Source organism: Homo sapiens, chromosome 2, assembly GCF_000001405.40.
Source record: "Homo sapiens chromosome 2, GRCh38.p14 Primary Assembly".
NCBI lineage: Eukaryota > Metazoa > Chordata > Mammalia > Primates > Hominidae > Homo > Homo sapiens.
Window position 1 is genome coordinate 23073430 of NC_000002.12, and position 21004 is coordinate 23094433.

Here is a 21004-nt window from a genome sequence, read left to right on the forward strand (position 1 = left end):
ATTTGAATCCCATAATTAGCAGACTGAAACACCCGCCTTTTCCCAGGCATGGACTCATGGTGAAGCTGGCCCTACTTAGGAGCCACAGAGGGGTTCAGTCTGGAACAGGGCTTCCAGATGGAGCCATCAGAGTGTGGTTCATAGCCAGGACTCAAGTATCAGAGAGGGAACCTCGCTTCTGAAAGTATGAAACCTACAAGGGGCAATGCCAATGGCTTATCCCTGGATCGCATCTGCAGCCCTGTGACCCCCTGCTCTCCTAGCCTGTGGCTGTACCAGCTTCCTCACTGTAAAGTGGGGAAGGAAAACTGTCACAGCACAGGCTTGTTGTGAGCCCATGCTGGAAAAAAGCAGCATGAACAAGCACTTGTTAGTGCAAGTCACACTGTCCTGGGAAGGCAAGTCTGAAGACTGTCACACCCCTGCCTGTTTCCTCCTTACAGTTGACCTTGAACCCCAGTGACAGCGTGGGAGGGAAGGCAACGATCAGGGACTTGGGATGCTCTCCAGCCTCACATCCAACTTCCATCCTTGCTCTGTTCAACCTGCAAGTGGTTCCTAAGCAGGAAGCAGATCCACCTGCTTGTGCTGCTTGCATTTATGTTGTTCCACTTCTAATTAGGCCCATCCTGCCCTATTACAGACAATAGAAGTGTGTTTTAAATGAAAGCCCATCTCTTTCCCCCTGACTATACTAAGGCTCTTCATTTCTCTTTGCCTCCTCTGCATTTAGTAACTTAAGTCTGCTTGGAGCTAAATGACCCAGTTAATACAGCCTAGATGGCTGACTGTCCTGTGCTCACTTAGGAGTGGCCCTCACAACACAGAGGCTATTACACATTGCATCGTTTTTTATTCTGTTTGTAGTTTACATCACTAGACTGGGAACCCAAGAGGCTGGTGGGTCTGGATCCCCAAGGGGAGCCAGCATCACCTTAAATATGACCTCACTTGTCAAACGATCCACTTCCCCACAGGCTGGGATGGATGAGCAAGAGGTTTATCTTGTTTATTAAAGGAGCAATACTTTATCTTTTGGAAAAACACACTGAAATATTTATAGGTGAAATTACTTGATTTATGGGATTTCCTTTAAAATAATAGGAAAGGAAGGAAGTGTGCACAGGGCGTCGGTGCGTGGATGGGGCAGGCTTGTCTTAGGTAAATCACCATTGAGACTGGGTGATGAGAACAAAGGTGTTCAGTTAAAGATTCTGTCTACCTGCGCATCTGCTTACAATTTCCCACAAGAAAAGGCCACTTTTTAAACAGCAAGGTTTAAATCTGAAAAGCTGAAGTAAATAGTTCTTTAAAAGCACATTTTTAATTAAATAAAATTTCAAGATGTGCTCGGTGTCGCTCTCTATCTTGGACGGTTCTATATTCATTGTTTAACCTGGTTTTTATTTCCAGTCTTAATCAGAGGACTTTCTTCTAATTTATCCTAAATCTTTATTTCAAAAACATTCCCTCCAGAGCAGCCCCCAAATTGCAAGCCAGATTCACATCCAAAGCTGTTTTGGCAGCTTGTCTGCCCCCTTTGTCTAGCCTCACCACGAGCGGATTGTTTTCCTCAAAGGCCAATTTAGATCATGAGTGACCCCACCATTTTCTCTAGTTCATTTTCACCGGGTTGTCCTGCACCTCCCTGCTCAGGAAAAAGCAGAAAAAGAGAAAAGCAGTGATCACAGTCATGCTTGTGACTTTAGTCTCCTCTGGAAAAGGTTTTAATTGACTGGAAAAACATAAGAATCTTCTTCTCCACTGACCCACACCTGTATATAAACTGCTGTTTGGACCCTGGGGCCATTTCTCTGGTACTTCTGTTTACCAGCCCACAATATACCCAAATTATAGGGCTACATCTAAGAGAAAGGAGCATCCTCACAAGCCAAGTATGGCAAACCTGATTCTATTAAATCACAGACAAGGGCTCGCCACCTCTCTCTGCCTTTTTCTTTCTAAACCTAGCTAACTGCTTAATCCCATTCAATCTCTACCCACAGCTACAGTTTTGATATCTTCCTCTTCTGACTCTAGCACTTTCCAGCCATGAGAGTGTCACCTTTCAGATAGCCCATGCCTTTCCAACAAGAATAATCTTTCTAAAACCAATTTGTATACAAATTAACTGAAACTTTGGCCAAAGAAATGCATGCATGTGTAGGCATACAAACTGCATTGCCTTGGAAGACTGTGCCTAGTTTCCACCCACTCACGCTCAGTATCAGCACTGATAACCTTCAGCCCAGCCACTTGGAGCACCATGCCTGATGCCACCCTGAGCATCATGAGCTGGCACAACTCAGGAGCAACTACCATGAAAACAGGCTTCGTTTCTTTGCCCTCTTTCTTCATGTCTCACTGAAGATGACAATTGACTCTCAGAGGTGTTTAATGGGGGAAATCACCCACCCTGTGCCCAGTGTGCTCCAAACCAGGCAAAGCAACGGTGGAGAAGGAATATTTTTGGAACAGAGAAAGCAAGACACAGAGGGCTGTACCCCTCCAGGAATAGTTTCTCCCCTGATAGATCTCTTCTCCTTCTTCTCCCTTGCAAGGTGCCTATTACCTGGTTAGTTGATCAAAGTATCAAGTGGAGAAGCCAGAAATAATTGACAGAAATATGGGGAACCCCTGGCCTTTATTACATCCTCATCCAGGAAAGAAAAACTTCCTGTCCACAGCAGCACCTGAGTGGATCATGGTCAGTACGTCTGTGTGGGAGTACATTCACACATGCTGATTTTCTGAACAGGAAACAGCTTCCTGATATTTCTTCCAAACATATTCTCTATACTACATTCTATATCCACCTGGCACAATGACAGTTTCAGGCAAACAAGAAGAAACATGGCCAATCATGCCTCCATTTGGTCTCTCCCTCAGCCCCCAAGATTCACTCACTCTAACTTAGTAAGAGCCCCTGTCATAGATTCCACGAAACAAATCTTTAGGACGTAAGCCTTGATGTCAGTAAGCAGGGGACAATTAGACTTCTAGTAAATCTAGGTTTCTGCCCAAAAAGTGAATGCATGCTGTTGGCAATATGCTTTGGCAGCTTCAAAGTCCTTCATCCTCACTGAAGGAGTCCGGCCACTTTTCCCAAGCTAAGCTGCAACAGACAAGGTGAGCATTCCCATACCTTTCACTTTTATACTAAACCAACCTCATTTGCAGGACTCACTCCCCTCCAAACAACTGAAGCCACTTCAGTCTGCTGGTCTTTGGGGACAGGGACATGTAAGCAATCTAGTAAGCAAGGCTTCTTACAGAAAGGGAAAGCAAGATGACTACAAAGAACTGCCAACCAGTGTATCCGGGACATAACTTCAGTGACAAATCCCCTGCTCCTAAGAGGGCCCTACCTGGTGAAGGAAGTTGGACTTTTTTTTCATATATATATTTAAAGATGAGGCAACTGAGATTCAAAAAAGTAAATAATTGTAAAGTTTTAAAAATAGATCTCAGCAGAGGGCTTGCAACATAGTAGGCATTCAATAAATGTTTAATTAATTAGCTAATGAAAATAAGACAATCAGAAAGTTCTATCAGCCCTTGCCCTCTTCTTTGCATCTCCTCTTTTTGAAGGGCGCTAACCTCTAAATGTAGGATATGGTCACAGTGAAATTCTTTTTATCATGACTTTATCTGATTTCAAAAGAGATCCTACTTGTTTTGAAAAACCATCTGAAGTATGTTCAGATTCTATCCCAGAAAAGGCTTCTCTATTCTCAACTCTGCTGGTTACAGCCTAGTCCTAACCAGAGCCTTGCACAGGGCCTTTTTAAAATAAGGATCCTAAGTTTCTGGTAGGGATGTGTCCTTTGATGTTCACTTTCTTCCAGCTAAGCACCCAGCCAGCTACAAAGGCAAATTTGCTACATGTTTCTCCCACCTAATGAAAGTGAGCTTAACAGAGAACAGACTGCCAGTACCTGCCATCACTATTGCATTCAGAGAGAGAATCAGATACAGTACCTCATAGGTGTATGCCTAAATTGGAGATTAAAGACAGGTCCCCAAGCTACCGAAATTATTATTAAGTTTGGCACTGATTCCAGTTTAGCCCCAGCCCCCAGCACCACCAAAGCCCTCACTTTTGGGGAGTGTCTCAAGAGAGATGGGAAACCTGGCTGTTTCTGATGTTCAGAACCTGAATGTCACTATTCATATTGAGTGTCTTGGTAAGATAGCTGAAATGTCACCTCATTGCTACATGGTGGCTTTATTTTTTTCAAGGAATACTCCCATTATGTTATCAGACCCTTGTGACCCGCCGTGAGGAGGGTGGGATGGGGATTAGTGGCATCCTAACCGTGTATGTGGCAATCCTGAATCATTCAGCATCATTCTGCAAGTCACCTGCAGTCAAACATGAGTCACTCACAGAGGCATTTCCAAATCCCAGCGTTGCCTCCACCTCTTCCTGCTGAGACCACTCTGTCACTCACTGCCACTGATTCATTCCTCCAGGCCCCCTGTAAACTGAGAGATAAGTAAAATTTGCCTTTATTTCCCTACTTTTCTCTTTTCATTGTGCTCCCAGAAATGGTGTGGAACCCACAGCAATGAGGGCCAGTTCTGCAGCCTGCCACCTGAGCTGCCTGGGGAGAGTACCCTGTAATGCATTCATAGATTAATTTGGGGCAGAATTATGTTCATAATGAGTGACTCACTCATATATACAGTGTGCTTTTTTTAAAGTCTTTTTATATGTCCTTTGATAGAATTTTTCAGTTGTCTTTTATGCATTCTTCATCTGATTTTTATGTATGTTATGCTTTTGTTGATATTGCAAATGACATTTTATATTCTATTAGATCTTCAAGTACATTACATCTAATGTAGAGGGATATTACATGTTTTATGTCTATCTTTTTTCTGGAAATATAAACTGGAATCTTATTGGTTGTTATAGTTTGTTGGTTCAGATACTTTTTCTAAGAAAATGATAGCAATTTTGTGTTTTTCCTTTTGACTTGTGTGTATGTGTGTGTGTGTGTGTACCTTTGTGTGTATGTGCTAATGTATCAGCCAGGACCTCCCTAACTATGTAAACTGTAATGTTGATAGTGGGCATTTTGTCTTATTTGCAATCTTAAAGGGAGTGAGTATAAAAGGAGGCAAATATTGGATGTTTGTTGTAAGTGTTTAGTATAAGACTTTTACCAAATTGAAGAAATTTCTATTTTTTCTACTTTTCCAACAGAGTTGTTATCATAAACAAGTACTGGATTTTAACAAAATGCTTTTTCCTGCATTTTTAAAATAATAATGTGATTCCTTTTTAAAAAAATAATGGGGAAAAATACAGATTTTCTGATGTAATATCTGCTTTTAAATATGCAAGTTAAATATCAGGGGTCCTAGGACATCTGCTTCCAGCTAGGATGCTAGGATAGAGTTGTGTAAGCAGACCAATGTTTCTGCTGAACAGCTAGAAAAGTTAGGAAAAAATACCAAGAAATAAATCAATTTAGGACTTGAGGAGCCAAAATCTCTGAGCAAAGAGAAGCAGACAGAGGTTAGCTGGCCACGTTTCCACTAGGAGAAATAGCCAATTCTTGACACACATACCTGGCAGAGAACCACTGATAAAAAGCACAGAAAACAGCAGACGTTTTGGCAATCTCGCAGGGCTGAGTGGATAAAAATTGAAGAAAGGTAGAAAGTAAATGGGTTGAAAAAGATAAACCCGGAAAATACCAACTAAGAGAAGGCTGATATCCTCTATATCAGATATCAACATCTACTATAAAGCTACAGTAATTAAGACAGACAGTGTAGTATCAGCACAAGGGTAGACAGACCAATGGAACAAAATAGAAAATCCAGAAGCTGACTCACATAGAGTCACTTGGCTTATGACAAAAATACCACTGCAGTGCAGAAGAAAAATACTGATCTTTTAACAAATTGTACTGGATCAATTGTATATCCATATAGAAAAAAGTGAATCCTAAACCCTACCTCATACTACATGCAAAAAAAAAATCAGATGGATTGTAGAACTCGATATGAATTATGAAACAACACTCTTAGAAGAAAACAGGAGAATATATTCATGACCTTGAAACAGACAAAGCTTTTCTAAACAGGACATTTATTTAAGGCTTCTTTAATTTCTTTCAAAATATTTTGTAACCTGCAGAGTATACATTGTGCATTTCATTTGTTAATTTATAATTATTTTCTTTTTGATGCCACTGCAATAAATTGTATATTTCACTTTTGGAGGGTTCATCACTGGAGTATGAAAATACAATTGCTTTTCATATGTATCTTATACTCTGTAAGCTTGCTGAACTCATTTATGGCTTCCAAGAGTTTTTTAGTGGATTCCTTAGGATTTTATATATACAGGATTATGTTGGCTGCTAATAGAGACAGTTTTACTTTTTCCTCTACAATCTGGATGTCTTTTCACTTTCTTGAATAATTGTCCAATCCAGAATTCAACAACGTTGAGTAGAAGTGATCAGAGTGGACATCCTCATTTTGTTCCCGATTTTAGGTAGAAAGCATTTAGTCTTTCACCATTAATTATGATAAGTGCCTATGGATTTTTAATAAATGACCTCTATCAGATTGAGGAATTTCCTTCTATTCCTAGATTATTGAATATTTTATGAAATTGTGCTAATTTTGTCAAATGCTTTTCCTGAAATTATTAAGATAACTACATGGTTTGTCTTTTATTCTATTGATATGGTGTATTATATTAATTGGTTTTCATATGTTGAGCCAACCTTGCATTCTTAGATAAAATCCCATTTGGTCATGGTATATAATCCATTATATATGTTGCCGGACCAGGTCTTTCAGTATTTCAGTGAGGATTTTGCCTCTATATTCATAAGGAATGTTCATTGGTAGTTTTTTTTTTTTTGTGATGTCTTTGTCTGGTTTTGATATCAAGATAATACTGGCCTAATAGGATGACTTGAGAAATGTTCCCTTACCTTTTCTGGAAAAGTTTGTAAAGAATTAGTATGACTTCTTCCTCACCAGTGAAGCAATTTGGGCCAGGACTTTTCTTTGTAGTTTTTTATGTACTATTTCAATCTCTTTACTTGTTAGAAGTCTGTTCACATTTTCTATTTCTTGTTGAGTCAATTTGATAATATGTGTCTAAGAATTTGTCCATTTTATTAAAATTATTTAATATCTAAATTGCTATGCAAACGTGCATAGTGTTCTAATTCTTTTGATTTTTGTAACGTCAGTAGCAATGTCCCCTCCTTCATGCTTGATTTTAATAATTTGAGTCTTTTCTTTTTCTTGGTCAGTTTAGCTAAAGATTTGTCAATTTTCTTGATATTTTCAAAGAAATAGCTTTTGCTTTTGCTTACGTTCTCTATTGTTTTTCTATTCTCTATTTCATTAATTTCTGTTATTTTTATTTTCTTCCTTCTGTCTGCTTTAGGTTTAGTGTGCTCCTTTTTTTCACTGTTTTAAGATGAAAGGTTAGGTTATTGATTTGAGATCTTCTTCTTTAATACAATTTTTTAAAGCTACACATTTTCCTCTAAACACTGCTTTGAGATTTTTTATGTGTGTTTTCCCTTTCCTTCATCTCAAAATATTTTCTAATTTCTCTTTTGATTTCTTTGACCCATTGTTTATTTAGAAGTGGATTGTTCAATTTCTCTATATTTATGATATTTTGCTATTATTATTTCATTCTATTGTGATCACAGATCACACTTTCTATAATTCTAATTCTTTTAAATGTAACAAGTCTTATTCATGGCTTACCATATGGTCTATCCTAGAGAACGTTCTATGTTCATCTGAGAATAATTTGTATTTGCCTCTTTTGAGGTGGAGTGTTCTATAGATCTCTGTTAGGACTACTTGATTTTTAGTATTGTTCAAGTCTTTTCTTGTTAATCTTCTGCCTAGTTGTTCTATCCATTATTGAAAGTAGAATATTAAATCCTCCAACTACTATTTTTTGTATTGCCTATCTTCGCTGCAATTCTGACAGTTTTTGCTTCAAGTACTTGGAGGCACTGTTAGTTGTACATATGGTAATTGTTATATCATCATAATAGATAAACACTCCTCTTATCATTATAAAATGTTCCTGTTTATGTCTATTAACTTGATTTCTGCTTTTTGTCTATTTTGTCTGAAGTTAGTACTGCCACTCCTGGTTTCTTATGTTGATGTTCACGTGATATATCCTTTCCTATCCTTTTCCATTCAGCCTATTTGTATCTTTGAATTTAAAATATTTACTCTGTAGACATCATTTGGTTGAATCATGGTTTTTGTTTTTAGCCCAATTTGACAATCTCTGCCTTTTGACTGGGTTGTTTAATCTGTTTACATTTAATGCTATTATTGTTATACTTGAATTCATGGCTGCCATTATAACTTTTGTTTTCTATATGTCTCTAACTTTTTGTTTCTCTATTCCTCCTTTACTGCTTTCTTTTGCATTAATCAAATACTTTCCACTGTAACATTTTAATTCCTTTAATAATTTTTTACCATATTTTGGAAGTTATTTTCTTTCCTTAAATTGTGTATTTTTAATTTTTGTGGATACATAGGAGCTGTATATATTTATGGGGCACCTGACATATTTTGATACAGTCATGCAATGTGTAATATTCACATCAGGATAAATGGAGTATCCATCACTGCAAGCATTTATCCTTTGTGTTACAAATAATCCAATTATACTCTTTTCGTTATTTTTAAATGCGCCATTAAATTATTATTGACTATTGTCACCCTTTTGTGCTATCAACTACTAGATCTTACTCATTCTTTCTACTTTTTTGTATCCTGGAGTTATTTTCTTAGTGGTTGCTTTAGAGCTTACCATATTCATATCAATTTATCAGAATATACTTCAGACTTATACTAATTTAGTTCCAGTGAGACAAAGCAATATTACTCTACTTCAGACTTACACTAATTTAGTTCCAGTGAGATAAAGCAATATTACTCCTATATAGCCCTATTCATTCATTCCTCCCCCTTTTGTGGTATTCCTGATGTGCATATTACATCCAGATATATAATATACAGTTATTGTATTACATCATTATACAAAAATACATAGTTATAATTACCTTATGTAACTTCGTCTTTTAAAGAAGAGAACAAAGGATAACAAGTATTTATTTATGGAGTGTGTTGTATTAGCCTTCTTTTTTTTTTTTTTTTTTGAGACGGAGTCTCGCTCTGTCGCCCGTATTTGCCATTTCTGGTCCTTTTTTCCTGTGGACTCAAGTTACTCTCTAGTGCCATTTCCTTTTTCCAATACAGCTTTGCTCCCACATATCTGTTTTGTACTTGTATTGTCAAATACATTACCTTTCTATATGTAATAGATCTGATAATACAATTATATGCATAGTTTAACACAACTGCTTCCTAAATCTGTTGAAATATGCTTTTATACTTTACTTTATAGTTGCATAATTATCTTTACTCTTTGTTGTTGTTGTTTCCATGTACATTCAAATTACTGTTTGGGATCACCTGCTTTTACCTGAAGAACTTCCTCAGTATTTCTTGTAAAGCAGGTCTGTTAGCAGCAAATTCTCTCAGCTTTTGTTTATCAGGAAATGTTTTTCTTTTATCTTCATTTTCAAAAGACTGTTGTGTTGGCTATAAGATTGTTGGTTGACAGGTTTATTTCTCTAGCACTTTAACTATGTCATTCCATTCATTGTCTTTGATGGAAGAAAGTTAATTGATAATCTCATCGAGGTCCCCTTGTATGTGATGAGTACTTTTCTCTTGTTGCTGTCAAGATTTTTTTGTGTGTTGTTTGTCTTTCAGTATTTTTACTATGATATGTCTAAGTGTGGATTTCTTTGTGTTTATTATATTTGGAATTTATTGAGGCTCTTAGGTGTATAGATGAATGGCTTTCATCAAATTTCAGAGGTTTTCAGCCATGATTTTTCAAATATTTCTTCTGCTCTCTTTTTTCTCTTTTCTTCCTGGTACTCCAGTTACACATATGTGTCCACTATTTCTCTGAGGCTCTGTTTATTCTTCTTCATTTTTTTCTCTTAATTCTTCAGACTGCGTAATCTTTGTTGATCTTTCTTCAAGTTCTCTGATTCTTTCTTCTGTCAGCTCAAATATACAATTAAGCCCTTCTGGTAAATTTTTAATTTTAGTTACCATACTTTCACCTTCACAATATCTATTTTCTATCATTTCTATCTCTTTGTCATTATTCTCTATTTTATGAAACATCATTATGCCTTCCTTCCTTTGCCACTCTAAGGACAGTTTCCTACAGTTCTTTGAACATGCTTATAATAGTTGCTTTGAAGTATTTGTCTGCTAAGTCTGACATCTAGGCCCTTCACAGTTTCTATGACCTGCCTTTTTTCCATGTATCAGTCACACTCTTCTATTTCTTCTCATCTCATAATTTTTTATTGAAAACTGGACATTTTAGATGATATATTGTAACAATTCTGCATGCTGATCCCTTGCTCTGCAGCTTGATGTTGATGATGTTATTGTTTGCCTGTTTATTTTAGTGACTTGACTAGGTTATTTTAGTGGTCTGTTTCCCCCAAGGATGCAGCCTCTGATGTCACCACTCAGAGGAGGCATCCTTGGGCATGTACACTGTCACCCTGAGATGGCAGTGGTTTTATTAGTGCTGTCTTTGACTGTCTCTTTCCCTTTTATCTCTGTTGTCTGGCTCCATTTATATCATGCCCAGCTATTAGCCCCCACTAATTGCTGGCTAATTGTTCTATTATGTTTTATAGTACCCTGAGGCGTAAATTGCTCCAGAGTCTGATGCAATTAAATTTAGGTCCCTTTGCAGGGGTAATCTTTGAGGCCAGTCTCTGAAGAAACTATCTCTTAGCTGTCTCTTTCCATAATTCCCTCCAGTAAATTTCTAGATGGTCTGAGGTTAAGCTTGTTGCTTTCATGGAGCAACCAGTCCCCTCTTAATTGCATGTCACCAAAATCCCTATTGTTTCTAAGAGCACTCTTAGGTTTGTACTATCTTACATGGTGGTAAAAATAAAGCCCCTAAGCCTTGGGAGAGCTTCAGTGCTTTTTGATCTTGTGCCCTGCCTCTCCCCTTGGGTAATAAATCTGCAGCACTGCTCTAGAACTGAGGGTCAGGGACAGAGAACTACTTCTCTCAGTCACACCTGCTTTGTGAGCTTTATGTGTGTCACCTTGGGGTGGTTTGGCAGCCTCCAGGCTTTGTGGTTTACCTCTCCTTGCATAGAGACTTTTACCCAAGCTAGGGTGAGGTGATGGGGCCCTCTATTCCTGGCTGCCATGCCTGGGGTAGATCTTCTGCCCTATTAGTATGTCATAAGTGGAGGAAGACAGCCCCAGATCTCTCAGCCATTCTTGCCTGGAATAGACCCTCTGATACACAGAGATGTGGTGAGGATGTAAAATGCTGGTGGCCTGTCCCTACCCCTTGGAGACACTGGAGCCCTCAACTGGAAGTTGAGTGAAGAGGGAGTCCTTTATTCTTGGTTGTACCTGCCCAGTGTGGAAATTCCCTCATTGTGAGCTGAGAGAGTAGGAAGGGAGGAAGCAAATTGCGGATCAAATGCCATGTACTCCCGTCCTTACCAAGATGCAGTAAACTTTCTTGAATAAATATTTCTTCATCTGCTGTATGGCCCAAAGACAATGCTCAGCGACTTTAAAAAATTTTAATGTATATAATTTTCACCAGTTGTGGTTGTTTCACTGGGGAGAGGGCCTGTGAACACCTCCATTCCAAAAATGATGTCCCATAAGTCATTCTTAGCTTCCTAGAAATGCATGGCTGACAGGCACTGAGGGCTACTGGTTGCAACCTGAATCCTGGGCCATTGAGAACAGAAACAAGATAAGGAAATGGAGAGGTAAATAGAGGATGTGTGGGAAAGAGAAGAGAGGGTAATGAGGTCTGTCTCACCATGCCTCTGACAATAGAGCAACAATAAATAAAAATTAATCTTGTTTCATCTAAGACAACATTGGACACAATCTTGAGGTGTGCAAACTTAGTCTTTGGCAACCCTGCCTTCCATCTGTGAATGTCTCATACCTGGTATCCTCCAGGTGAGGGTAGTCTCACTCAGGACTTTTATCTCTCTCACCTGTTCCTTTTTCAGCTCTTTGTTTAATTTCTAGAGGAAGTTACCAGCCCTTAATTCACACCAAAATACATGTCATTGGCTGGGAGCTGCTTAATATGAGATCTTGCTAGAGGAATTTGCTTTTCAAAAGGGAAAACCCTATTCATCCTAAAGGCATGATCCCCTAACTGAGGAACTTGAGGCTACATCACTAGGTCAGCCCAGGCTATATGAAGCCAGAGAGAAGGGGGATCTTTTAGAACCTTAACTAAGGCTGCTTCACATATTTCTGAGGCCTCTAGAGCCAAATATTCTGGCTAAAAAAAAATTCTGACATGTCCACAGATCTGAGGAGGCACACTGTCTCAGTAAGCACAGCTGCTCTCCATTTGGTTAATGATAGCCCATCTCAAATTTGGTGTGTGCAAACAAAAGAGCCAGCAGGCCCAGCTCCACCGAGCTTGCCCACAGAGGCCTCTGAGCCGCAGGCTGCCACAGGATCTCTGGTAGAAACAGAACGATCTGTGTTGCATCTGGTGTGATAAGGCTGGTCTGTGTCAGGTGAAGGCCAGGTATAGACTTTGGCTTATACAGTCATGCACTGCACAATGACATTTCAATGTCTGACGGCATGTATGACAGTGGTTCCATGATCTTATAAGACCATGTTTTAACTGTACCTTTTCTACGTGCAGATATGAAAATACCTACCATTGTGTTACAGTTGCCTACAGTATTAAATACAATCACATGCAAGTACAGGTGTTCAGTCTAGGAGCAATGAGCTCTACCGTAAAGCCTAGGTGTGTGGCAGGCTATTCCATCTAGGTCTATGTAAGAACATTCTATGATGTTTCCACAGTGACAAAATTACTCAGTGACGCATTTCTCAGAACATATCCATGTCATTTAGTGACACATGACTGTGGTACAATGTGGCAGGATTTGGTAGCAGACAGGCCAGTGAAGGGATCCTACAAAGATACCAAAGGCTGTGCCAGTAACAATGCAAATGCAGGAGTAAAAAGGAGGAAAAAAGCATTGGAGGAAGATGCAGGCTACAGACCTTCAAGCCTAGGGCAAATCTGTTCAATCTTTGTCATTCTATGTGGTTTTCTTAGGCACCTCTCTGTTATCTCAAAAGTCAGCCCAATTTTCAGTCAATCCAATATTGACTTACTGTTTAATCCCTTATTTGAAAGAAAACTTTTTCTCTCTGAAAGTCCATTAAGTCACTGACCCTGAGAAGCCTTCCTGAATCTTTTTGGCATTTGGTCTTCTCTGTCTTCTTGGCTCCCATTGCCCTCCATATAAACTCAAATGGTCAAGAGCCAACTGAAAAAGCCATCCCACCAGAGATCCACCCCACAGTAGATGCTTCCATCCCTGTCCTCCTGCTTGAATCTGGTCAGCTGGCTATGATCTGGTACTTCAAATCCCTCCCATGAATGGGGTCCGATACACTCCCATCTCTGATCCAAAGCATTTCACTAAAATCTATTTAGAGCGATAAGTAGGGAGCAACCTCTGGAGACCAAGCCACTGAAATGACCATTCTATCTGTTTCACAAGTGACCTCCATGACTGCGGAGGTTTTCATCTACCTTGTTTACTGCTGTCTCCCTAAGGCCCAGCACAATCCTGGTTCACAGTAGGTGCTCAAATAGGAATTGATTGAATAAACAAGGCTGTTCTTGCACAAAGAGGGATGAGTTCTGGGCTGCCACATTTCATACAAAGGACAACTCACATCTGTCTTCAATAGACTCAGCTGCTTAGAGGTACCTGGAGCTGGTTTAATTCCTTGCCAAAGCTCCTCTCCAAATTCAACCACTCTCTGAAGGTGCTTTATACTTACACATTCTAATCATTTCTATACAGTCTGAATATGCCCAGGTCAATGAGACAGCTGAGCTGCCATGATCTATTTTAGGGTCTACCTCACAATCACTACCACCACTCAACTAAACCAGCATGGAAACTACTTTTTATGGTTGAAAGCATAGAAGGGGCTATTGTGTCAGTTATAGGACCAGGGGCTGACAAAGCCAAACACCCAACTGCAGGTCTGTATTAGTCCATTTTCACACTCTTGATAAAGACATACCCAAGACTGTGCAATTTACAAAAGAGAGGAGTTTAATGGACCTATACTTCCACATGGTTGTGGAGGCCTCAAAAACATGACAGAGGGCAAGCAGGAGAAAGTCACATCTTATATGGGTGGCAGCAGGCAAAAAGAGAGAGAGAGAGAGCTTGTGCAGGGAAACTCCCATTTTTAAAACCATCAGATCTCGTGAGACTTATTCACTATCATGAGAACAGCATAGGGAAGACCCACCCTCATGATTTAATTATCTCCCACCGGGTCCCTCCTGCAACACATGAGAATTATGGGAGCTACAAGATTAGATTTGGGTGAGGACTCAGAGCCAAATCATATCATTCCACCCTGACCCTTCCCAAATCTCACGTCTCCACATTTCAAAACCAATCATGCCTTCCCAACAGTCCCCCTAAGCCTTAACTCATTTCAGCATTAACTCAAAAGTCCACAGTCCAAAGTCTCATCTGAAACAAGGCAAGTCCCTTCCATCTATAAGCCTGTAAAATCAAAAGCAAATAAAGTTACTTCCTACATACAATGGGGATAACAGGAATTGCGTAAATACAGCCATTCTGAATGGGAGAAATTGGCTAAAACAGAAGGGCTACAGGCCCCATGCAAGTTCAAAATCCAGTGGGGCAGTCAAATCTTAAAGCTCCAAAATGATCTCCTTTGACTCTATGTCTCGTATCTGGGTCATGCTGATGCAAGAAGTGGGTTCCCATCATCTTGGGCAGCTCTGCCCCTGTGGCTTTGCAGGGCATAGCCTCCCTCCTGGCTGCTTTCACAGGCTAGCATTGAGTGTCTGCAGCTTTTCCAGGCACACGGTGCAAGCTGTCAGTGGATCTACCATTTTGGGGTCTGGAAGATGGTGATGGCCCTCTTCTCATAGCTCTACTAGGCAGTACCCCAGTAGGGACTCTGTGTGGGGGCTCTGATCCCATTGCCCTAGCAGAAGTTCTCCATGAGGGTCCCACCCCTGTGGCAAACTTCTGCCTGGGCATCCAGGAATTTCCATACATCCTCCAAAATCTAGATGGAAGTTCCCAAACCTCAATTCTTGACTTCTGTGCACCTGTGGGCTCAACACCACATGGAAGCTGCCAAGGCTTTGGGCTTACACTCTCCGAAGCCACAGCCCAAGCTGTACCTTGGCCCCTTTTAGTCACAGCCAGAGCAGCTGAGACGCAGGACACCAAGTCCCTAGACTGGACACAGCAGCCCTGGGCCCAGCCCACAAAACCATTTTTTTCTCCTAGGCCTCCAGGTCTGTGATGGGAAGGGCTGCCACAGAGGTCTCTGACATGCCCTGGAGACATTTTTCCCATTGTCTTAATGATTAACATTTGGGTCCTTGTTATACTTATGCAAAGTTCTGCAGCTGGCTTCAATTTCTACTCAGAAAATGTGATTTTCTTTTTTATTGTATTGTCAGGCTGCAAATTTTCTGAACTTTTATGCTCGTTTCCCTTTTAAAACTGAATGCCTTTAATAACATCCAAGTCACCTCTCGAATGCTTTGCTGTCTAGAAATTTCTTACGCCAGATACCTTAAATCATCTCTCTCAAGTTCTAAGTTCCTCAAATCTCTAGGGCAGGGGCAAAATGCTGCCAGTCTTTTTGCTAAAACATAACAAGAGTTCTACTTTTCAACAAGTTCCTCATTTCCATCTGAGTCCACCTCAGCCTGGACCTTATTGTCCATATCATTATCAGCATTTTGGTCAAAACCATTCAACAAGTCTCTAGGAAGTTCAAAACTTTTCTGCATTTTCCTGCCTTCTTCTGAGCTCTCCAAACTGTTCCAGCCTCTGCCTGTTACCCAGTTCCAAAGTCACTTCCACATTTTGGGGTACCTTTTCAGTAGCACTCCACTCCCAGTACCAATTTACTGTATTAGTCCATTTTCACACTGCTGATAAAGACACCCAAGACTGGGCAATTTACAAAAGAGAGGGGTTTAATGGACTTACAGTTCCACATGGTTGGGGAGACCTCACAATCAAGGCAGAAGGCAAGGAGGAGCAAGTCACATCTTACATGGATGGCAGCAGGCAAAGAGAGAGAGAGCTTGTGAAGGGAAACCAGTTTTTAAAACTATCAGATCTCATGAGTCTATTCACTATCACGAGAATAGCAGAGGAAAGACCTGCCCCCATGATTCAGTTATCTCCCTCTGGGTTTCTCCCACAACATGTGGTAATTATGGGAGTTACAAGATGAGATTTGGGTGGGGACACAGAGCCAAACCATATCAAGGTTGAAGCTGACTTTCATATAATCTTGCCTGAGGCTCCATATGATGTGCATATATGCGTCTTGTGTGCAAGTGCATATGCATGTTGAGAGAGGGAGAAGAGTGGAGGGGAAAGAAGAGGAGGAGAGAGGAGGGGAGACATTATGGTTAATATTGAGTGTCAACTTGATTGGATTGAAGGATTCAAACTATTGTTCCTGGGTGTGTCTGTGAGAGTGATGCCAAAGGAGATTAACATTTGAGTCAGTGTACTAGGAGAGGCAGACCCACCCTCAGTCTGGTTGGGCACCATCTAATCAGCTGCCAGTGTGACTAGAATAAAGCATACAGGAGAAGATGGAAGAGCAGACTTGCTGAGTCTTCTGGGCTTCATCTTTCTCCCACACTGAATGCTTTCAGCCCTAAAACATCAGACTCCAAGTTCTTCAGCTTTTGGATTCTTGGACTTATGCCAGTGGTTTGCCAGGGGCTCTCAGGCCTTTGGCCACAAACTGAAGGCTGCATTGTCAGCTTCCGTACTTTTGAGACTTGGACTGGCTTCCTTGCTCCTCAGCTTGCAGGTGGCCTACTGTGGGACTTCACCTTGTGATCCTGTGAGTCAGTACTCCTTAATAAACTCCTTTTCATATATACATCTATCTTATTAGTTCTGTCCCTCTAGAGAACCCTGACTAACACAAAAAGGCAGAGGAGAGGAGAGCAAAGGGGAGGGGAGGAGGAGAGGGGAGGGGAGAAGAGGGGAGGGGAGAGGAAAGAGGAGGAGAGAAAGAGGAAAGAGGAGGGAAAACAGGAAATGGAGTAAAGGATCCCCTCATATCCCACAGAACTTCCCTTAACCTCGTGGCTCCTCAGCCCACTCACCTGCATAGAATCCTGTTTCATCAGCATCAGAAGGTGAAGATTGAAATCATATAGGCTCAATTTCTTTATGTATTCAGTGATAGCAGCTCCCAGAAAAGAAACCTAAACAGAAGTGAAATATTAATTCTCCCACAAGTACAGGTGTCTCTTGGCACAAATTTAGCATGAACACCATCACCAGATGCACCCCCATTGCTGAGGATCCGAGGACTTTGGTCCAGGTTTGGATGCTGGATCCTAGGAAGACATGGCTGAATCTGTAAATAGAAAATCACAAATCAAGAGATTATTATCCAAAATTTGGATGACTAGGTGGGTTCATTTTGTATACCTGGAATTCTCACAGGACAATTTCATTAAAAAGAATAGCAACTATGGTGTTACTGTTGACTACTGTCAATTTTTTTTTATTATAAAAACACATCAAGACCTGATTATTCATCTGGAGTGATAAATAAATAAATAAATAAATAAATAAATAATTAAATAAATAAATAAAACTTTGAATGATACCCCTTCAGTCACACCACAAGGCCCAAAGTCTGCAGCCTGGCACTCAAAGCTACCAAGATAAATCTCTAACCTACCTTCCCAGTCTCATCTCTCAATACTTGTACATAATGTTTCTTCTACTTCAAAGTACTTGGTATTTTTTCATGATCAATCTCCTGTGATTTCCTACTGCCTTGTGGTTCACACCATACCTTTCAGCTAGAGACCCACTTCCTTTCCATTTGTCCATGACCAAGTTATACCCCTGCCTCAAGGCCCATCTCAAATGCAACCTCCTTTCTGAAGATATCTCCTTTCAGCCCCCAACAGAGCAATATCTCACTCCTCCTGTAAACCCCATATGTAGACAGTAATTCATCAAACTTGATAGTATAAATAATAAAAACTTACAGTAAACTCATCTAACAAATATTAAATCCCAATTATTTGCCAGACACAATATTAAATACTTAATATTTATTGATTCACTTAATTAATGATTTTCATATATGTTTTGTGTTCCCCAATGCCTGATGGCAGCCTTTAGTCTAAATCATATTTCTCTGCTATAATCCTTAACATTATGCCTAGATACAGTAAATTATCAATAAATGCTTATTGAGTATAAATTAATTAATGTACAATATGTGAATATATAAATGAATGAATGAAGCAAAAGGATGCCTGTTTAGAGGCACAATTTCCAAGACCATTAGGCAGAGCTTCTGGATTTCTATGCATATTATATGAGTTCTTTTCCATTCTCAATAAGATTCTAGAGTCTCATATAGCAAATCACAACAAGCCTGCAGCTACGATGTGTGGATGGTGAGCCTTTTGCATAGGATCATGAAGAGGACTCCTAGCGTTTAATTCTCTAAATTACACTCACCCCTTCAACAAACCAGAAAACAGTATAGCAATCTTTTATCCTTTCTTTCCTGGCCCACTCTCCCTAGCTCTAGCACCCAGAACTTTTACGTTTTTCTGTCCCACAGTAAGTGACGAACTAATTCAAACATACACAGGTGTACAAGAAAATAAATCCTCTTCCAAGGGTGCTATAAGTCTTTGAGGTCAATGCTTAATGCAAAGGAATGGAGTGATTTCAAACATCAATGAGGAGAAAAGAAAGTATAACCAGAATTATTGCATGGCTAGTCCCTGTCCAACTTTCTACATATATTATCTCATGTAATTTTTACAGTAATTTTATTAATTATAGTGATGATAATGTAGCACTTACTGTATGCCATATACTCTCCTAAGAATTTTTCATGTAATATCCCACTTAAGTCTCCCATCAACATTTTGAATAAAGTACCCCTTTCACCTTCTTAAGAGATGAGAAAACAGCCATAGAAAATTTAAGTAACTTGTCCAAGATCCCAAAGTAAAGAGTAGACCCAGAATGTAAACCCAACTTAGAAGTACACTCTACATCTTCTCAGGGTAGTAGTTTCCCAAACATATCTGTACAGCAGAAGTTGGTTCTCAGAAAGTTTACCAGGCACAAAGTCATGTACCTAGGAAACATAAATACTGGAATTCAAATCTTAATATTTTTATTTCGATGTGAATGCTTTTTAGTAAAACTTATTTCAGCTCAGGTGTTCATTCAGGGCAGCAAAGGTGTCCTGTATAGGGCTTCTCAACTCATAAGACCATTCCTGAGAATAAAAGTAATCATTTTGTGTGCTACTAAAACTTCCCCAGGCAGGGTTTTGCTTCATGCATCCCTGCCCCTAATCTCCTCTATCCATGGTGCTGAATTTAAAGACAGCATAGCTGGCCTAAAGAAAGAACTGACAAAATAATCTGAATCTCTATGGTAAAGGATCTTAAATACGGCTCTGCACCTGGCCATTGAGAACCAGTGAAATCTTTTCCAAACCTCCCGCTTTAAGCCCAGAATCTCTTTTCTGTCTTCCAAGATCATTAAGTTGAAAAGGGTAAAATAAGTGAGGCTTACGATTAACAAGGATTGTTCAAACCAATATCTTTTCAACTTCATAATTACAAAGATTATGTTATCTGAAAATAAATCAATGAAAGGAGAGCAAGAGAAAGTCTATCTCATAAACATCAATGCAGATCTAACAAAAGTTCAAACAAAAAAAGGAATCAGAGACTAGAGACCCTGAAGCAGGTTCGAAGCTACAGCACTGGGCCAATGGAGGGTGTGAGGCTAGTGCTGAGAACAAAGGCTTGAGACAGAGAATGTCTTTATATCTGGTGCTGAATTGATTTTCAAGCCATAAAAATGTTAGTTAAGGTAACACTGACATGAACTAGGGCAGGGTGGGGGGAAAAGAAGTTGGAAAAAGCAACTGCAATTTCAGGCTTATGAGAAATGGAATTAAAGTTAAGAGAAGGAAGGAAATCTATTGTTTGTCCAGTAACTGGCAAACAGAACAGCCACTGCATCATTATAGTGGCAACGACCTGCTGTGTTCATTTGTCTCTGAGCTGTCTGACCTAGGAGCTGGATGATTTATCTACTTTCCACAGCTTCAGCTGGGCCAGGCCAAGAGGATAACTTGGAGAAAAGGGTGGAGGTGTGGGGGTGGTGACACTCAAGCACCAAGCCAATGAACTCCATATGTCTTGTATTAGAGGGCATGCTCATAAATCAGCCAATATCACACATTTATTTCACACCTACTATAAACAAATCTCTGTGCTAGAAGGCCTCTGGTCATACAAAGATTGAAAAGGGCAGAGCCATTGGCCTTGAAGAGCTTACAATCTAGTGGAAAATATTAAGCATGAAGAAAACTAATTAAAAGCGTATGCTAGATGATGGCTAGAGACAGCAAGAACTATCAGAATACAGAGGAGGACTGTTGACTTTCTTTGTCAGGTAAGGCTTCTGAGAGCAGGCAACACCTTAATTGAGCTTAAATAATAGGATATGCAGTCAGAAAAAAATGGGAGTAAGTGTTGCAGGATGATAATTCAATTAACAAAGCCTCAGAGGCAGGAGTGGGTCAATTATGTTTTGGTGGGAGCAATATTGCCTATCCTTCCCAAATTCCTAGATACAAGGTAGATAGTCTCCAGGCTCTCCATATTCAGGGAGAGAGTTGAGGCAGCAGGGAATGCTCAAGGATCTGTACATCACTTTTTCAAAAACTTGAATGACTTCCAATATAAAAAAATAGATTTCTAGATTTCTGGCCACAGTGGTACATG

The 21004-nt window shown here is 39.9% G+C and overlaps 1 long non-coding RNA gene across 1 annotated transcript in view, besides 1 other annotated feature; it reads right to left on the reverse strand.

The window, feature by feature from the left end:
* The window catches only part of LOC107985792 (uncharacterized), a 180825-nt gene that overhangs the window by 55325 nt on the left and 104496 nt on the right, over positions 1 to 21004 (reverse strand). Inside the window, exons 2-3 of the long non-coding RNA NR_171639.1 lie at positions 17318 to 17419; positions 4391 to 4488 (exon numbers count right to left, since the gene is read on the reverse strand). This is a non-coding gene — a long non-coding RNA (uncharacterized LOC107985792). The remainder of the gene's footprint in view (positions 1 to 4390; positions 4489 to 17317; positions 17420 to 21004) is intronic.
* Positions 4070 to 5269: an enhancer, noted in NCBI's record as "P300/CBP strongly-dependent group 1 enhancer chr2:23300370-23301569 (GRCh37/hg19 assembly coordinates)". NCBI's record gives its function as "activates an origin of replication core promoter dependent on BRD2, BRD4, P300/CBP, MED14 and CDK7 cofactors, with strong dependence on P300/CBP, by STARR-seq in HCT116 cells {active_cell/tissue: HCT116}" and the evidence as "EXISTENCE:reporter gene assay evidence [ECO:0000049][PMID:35650434]".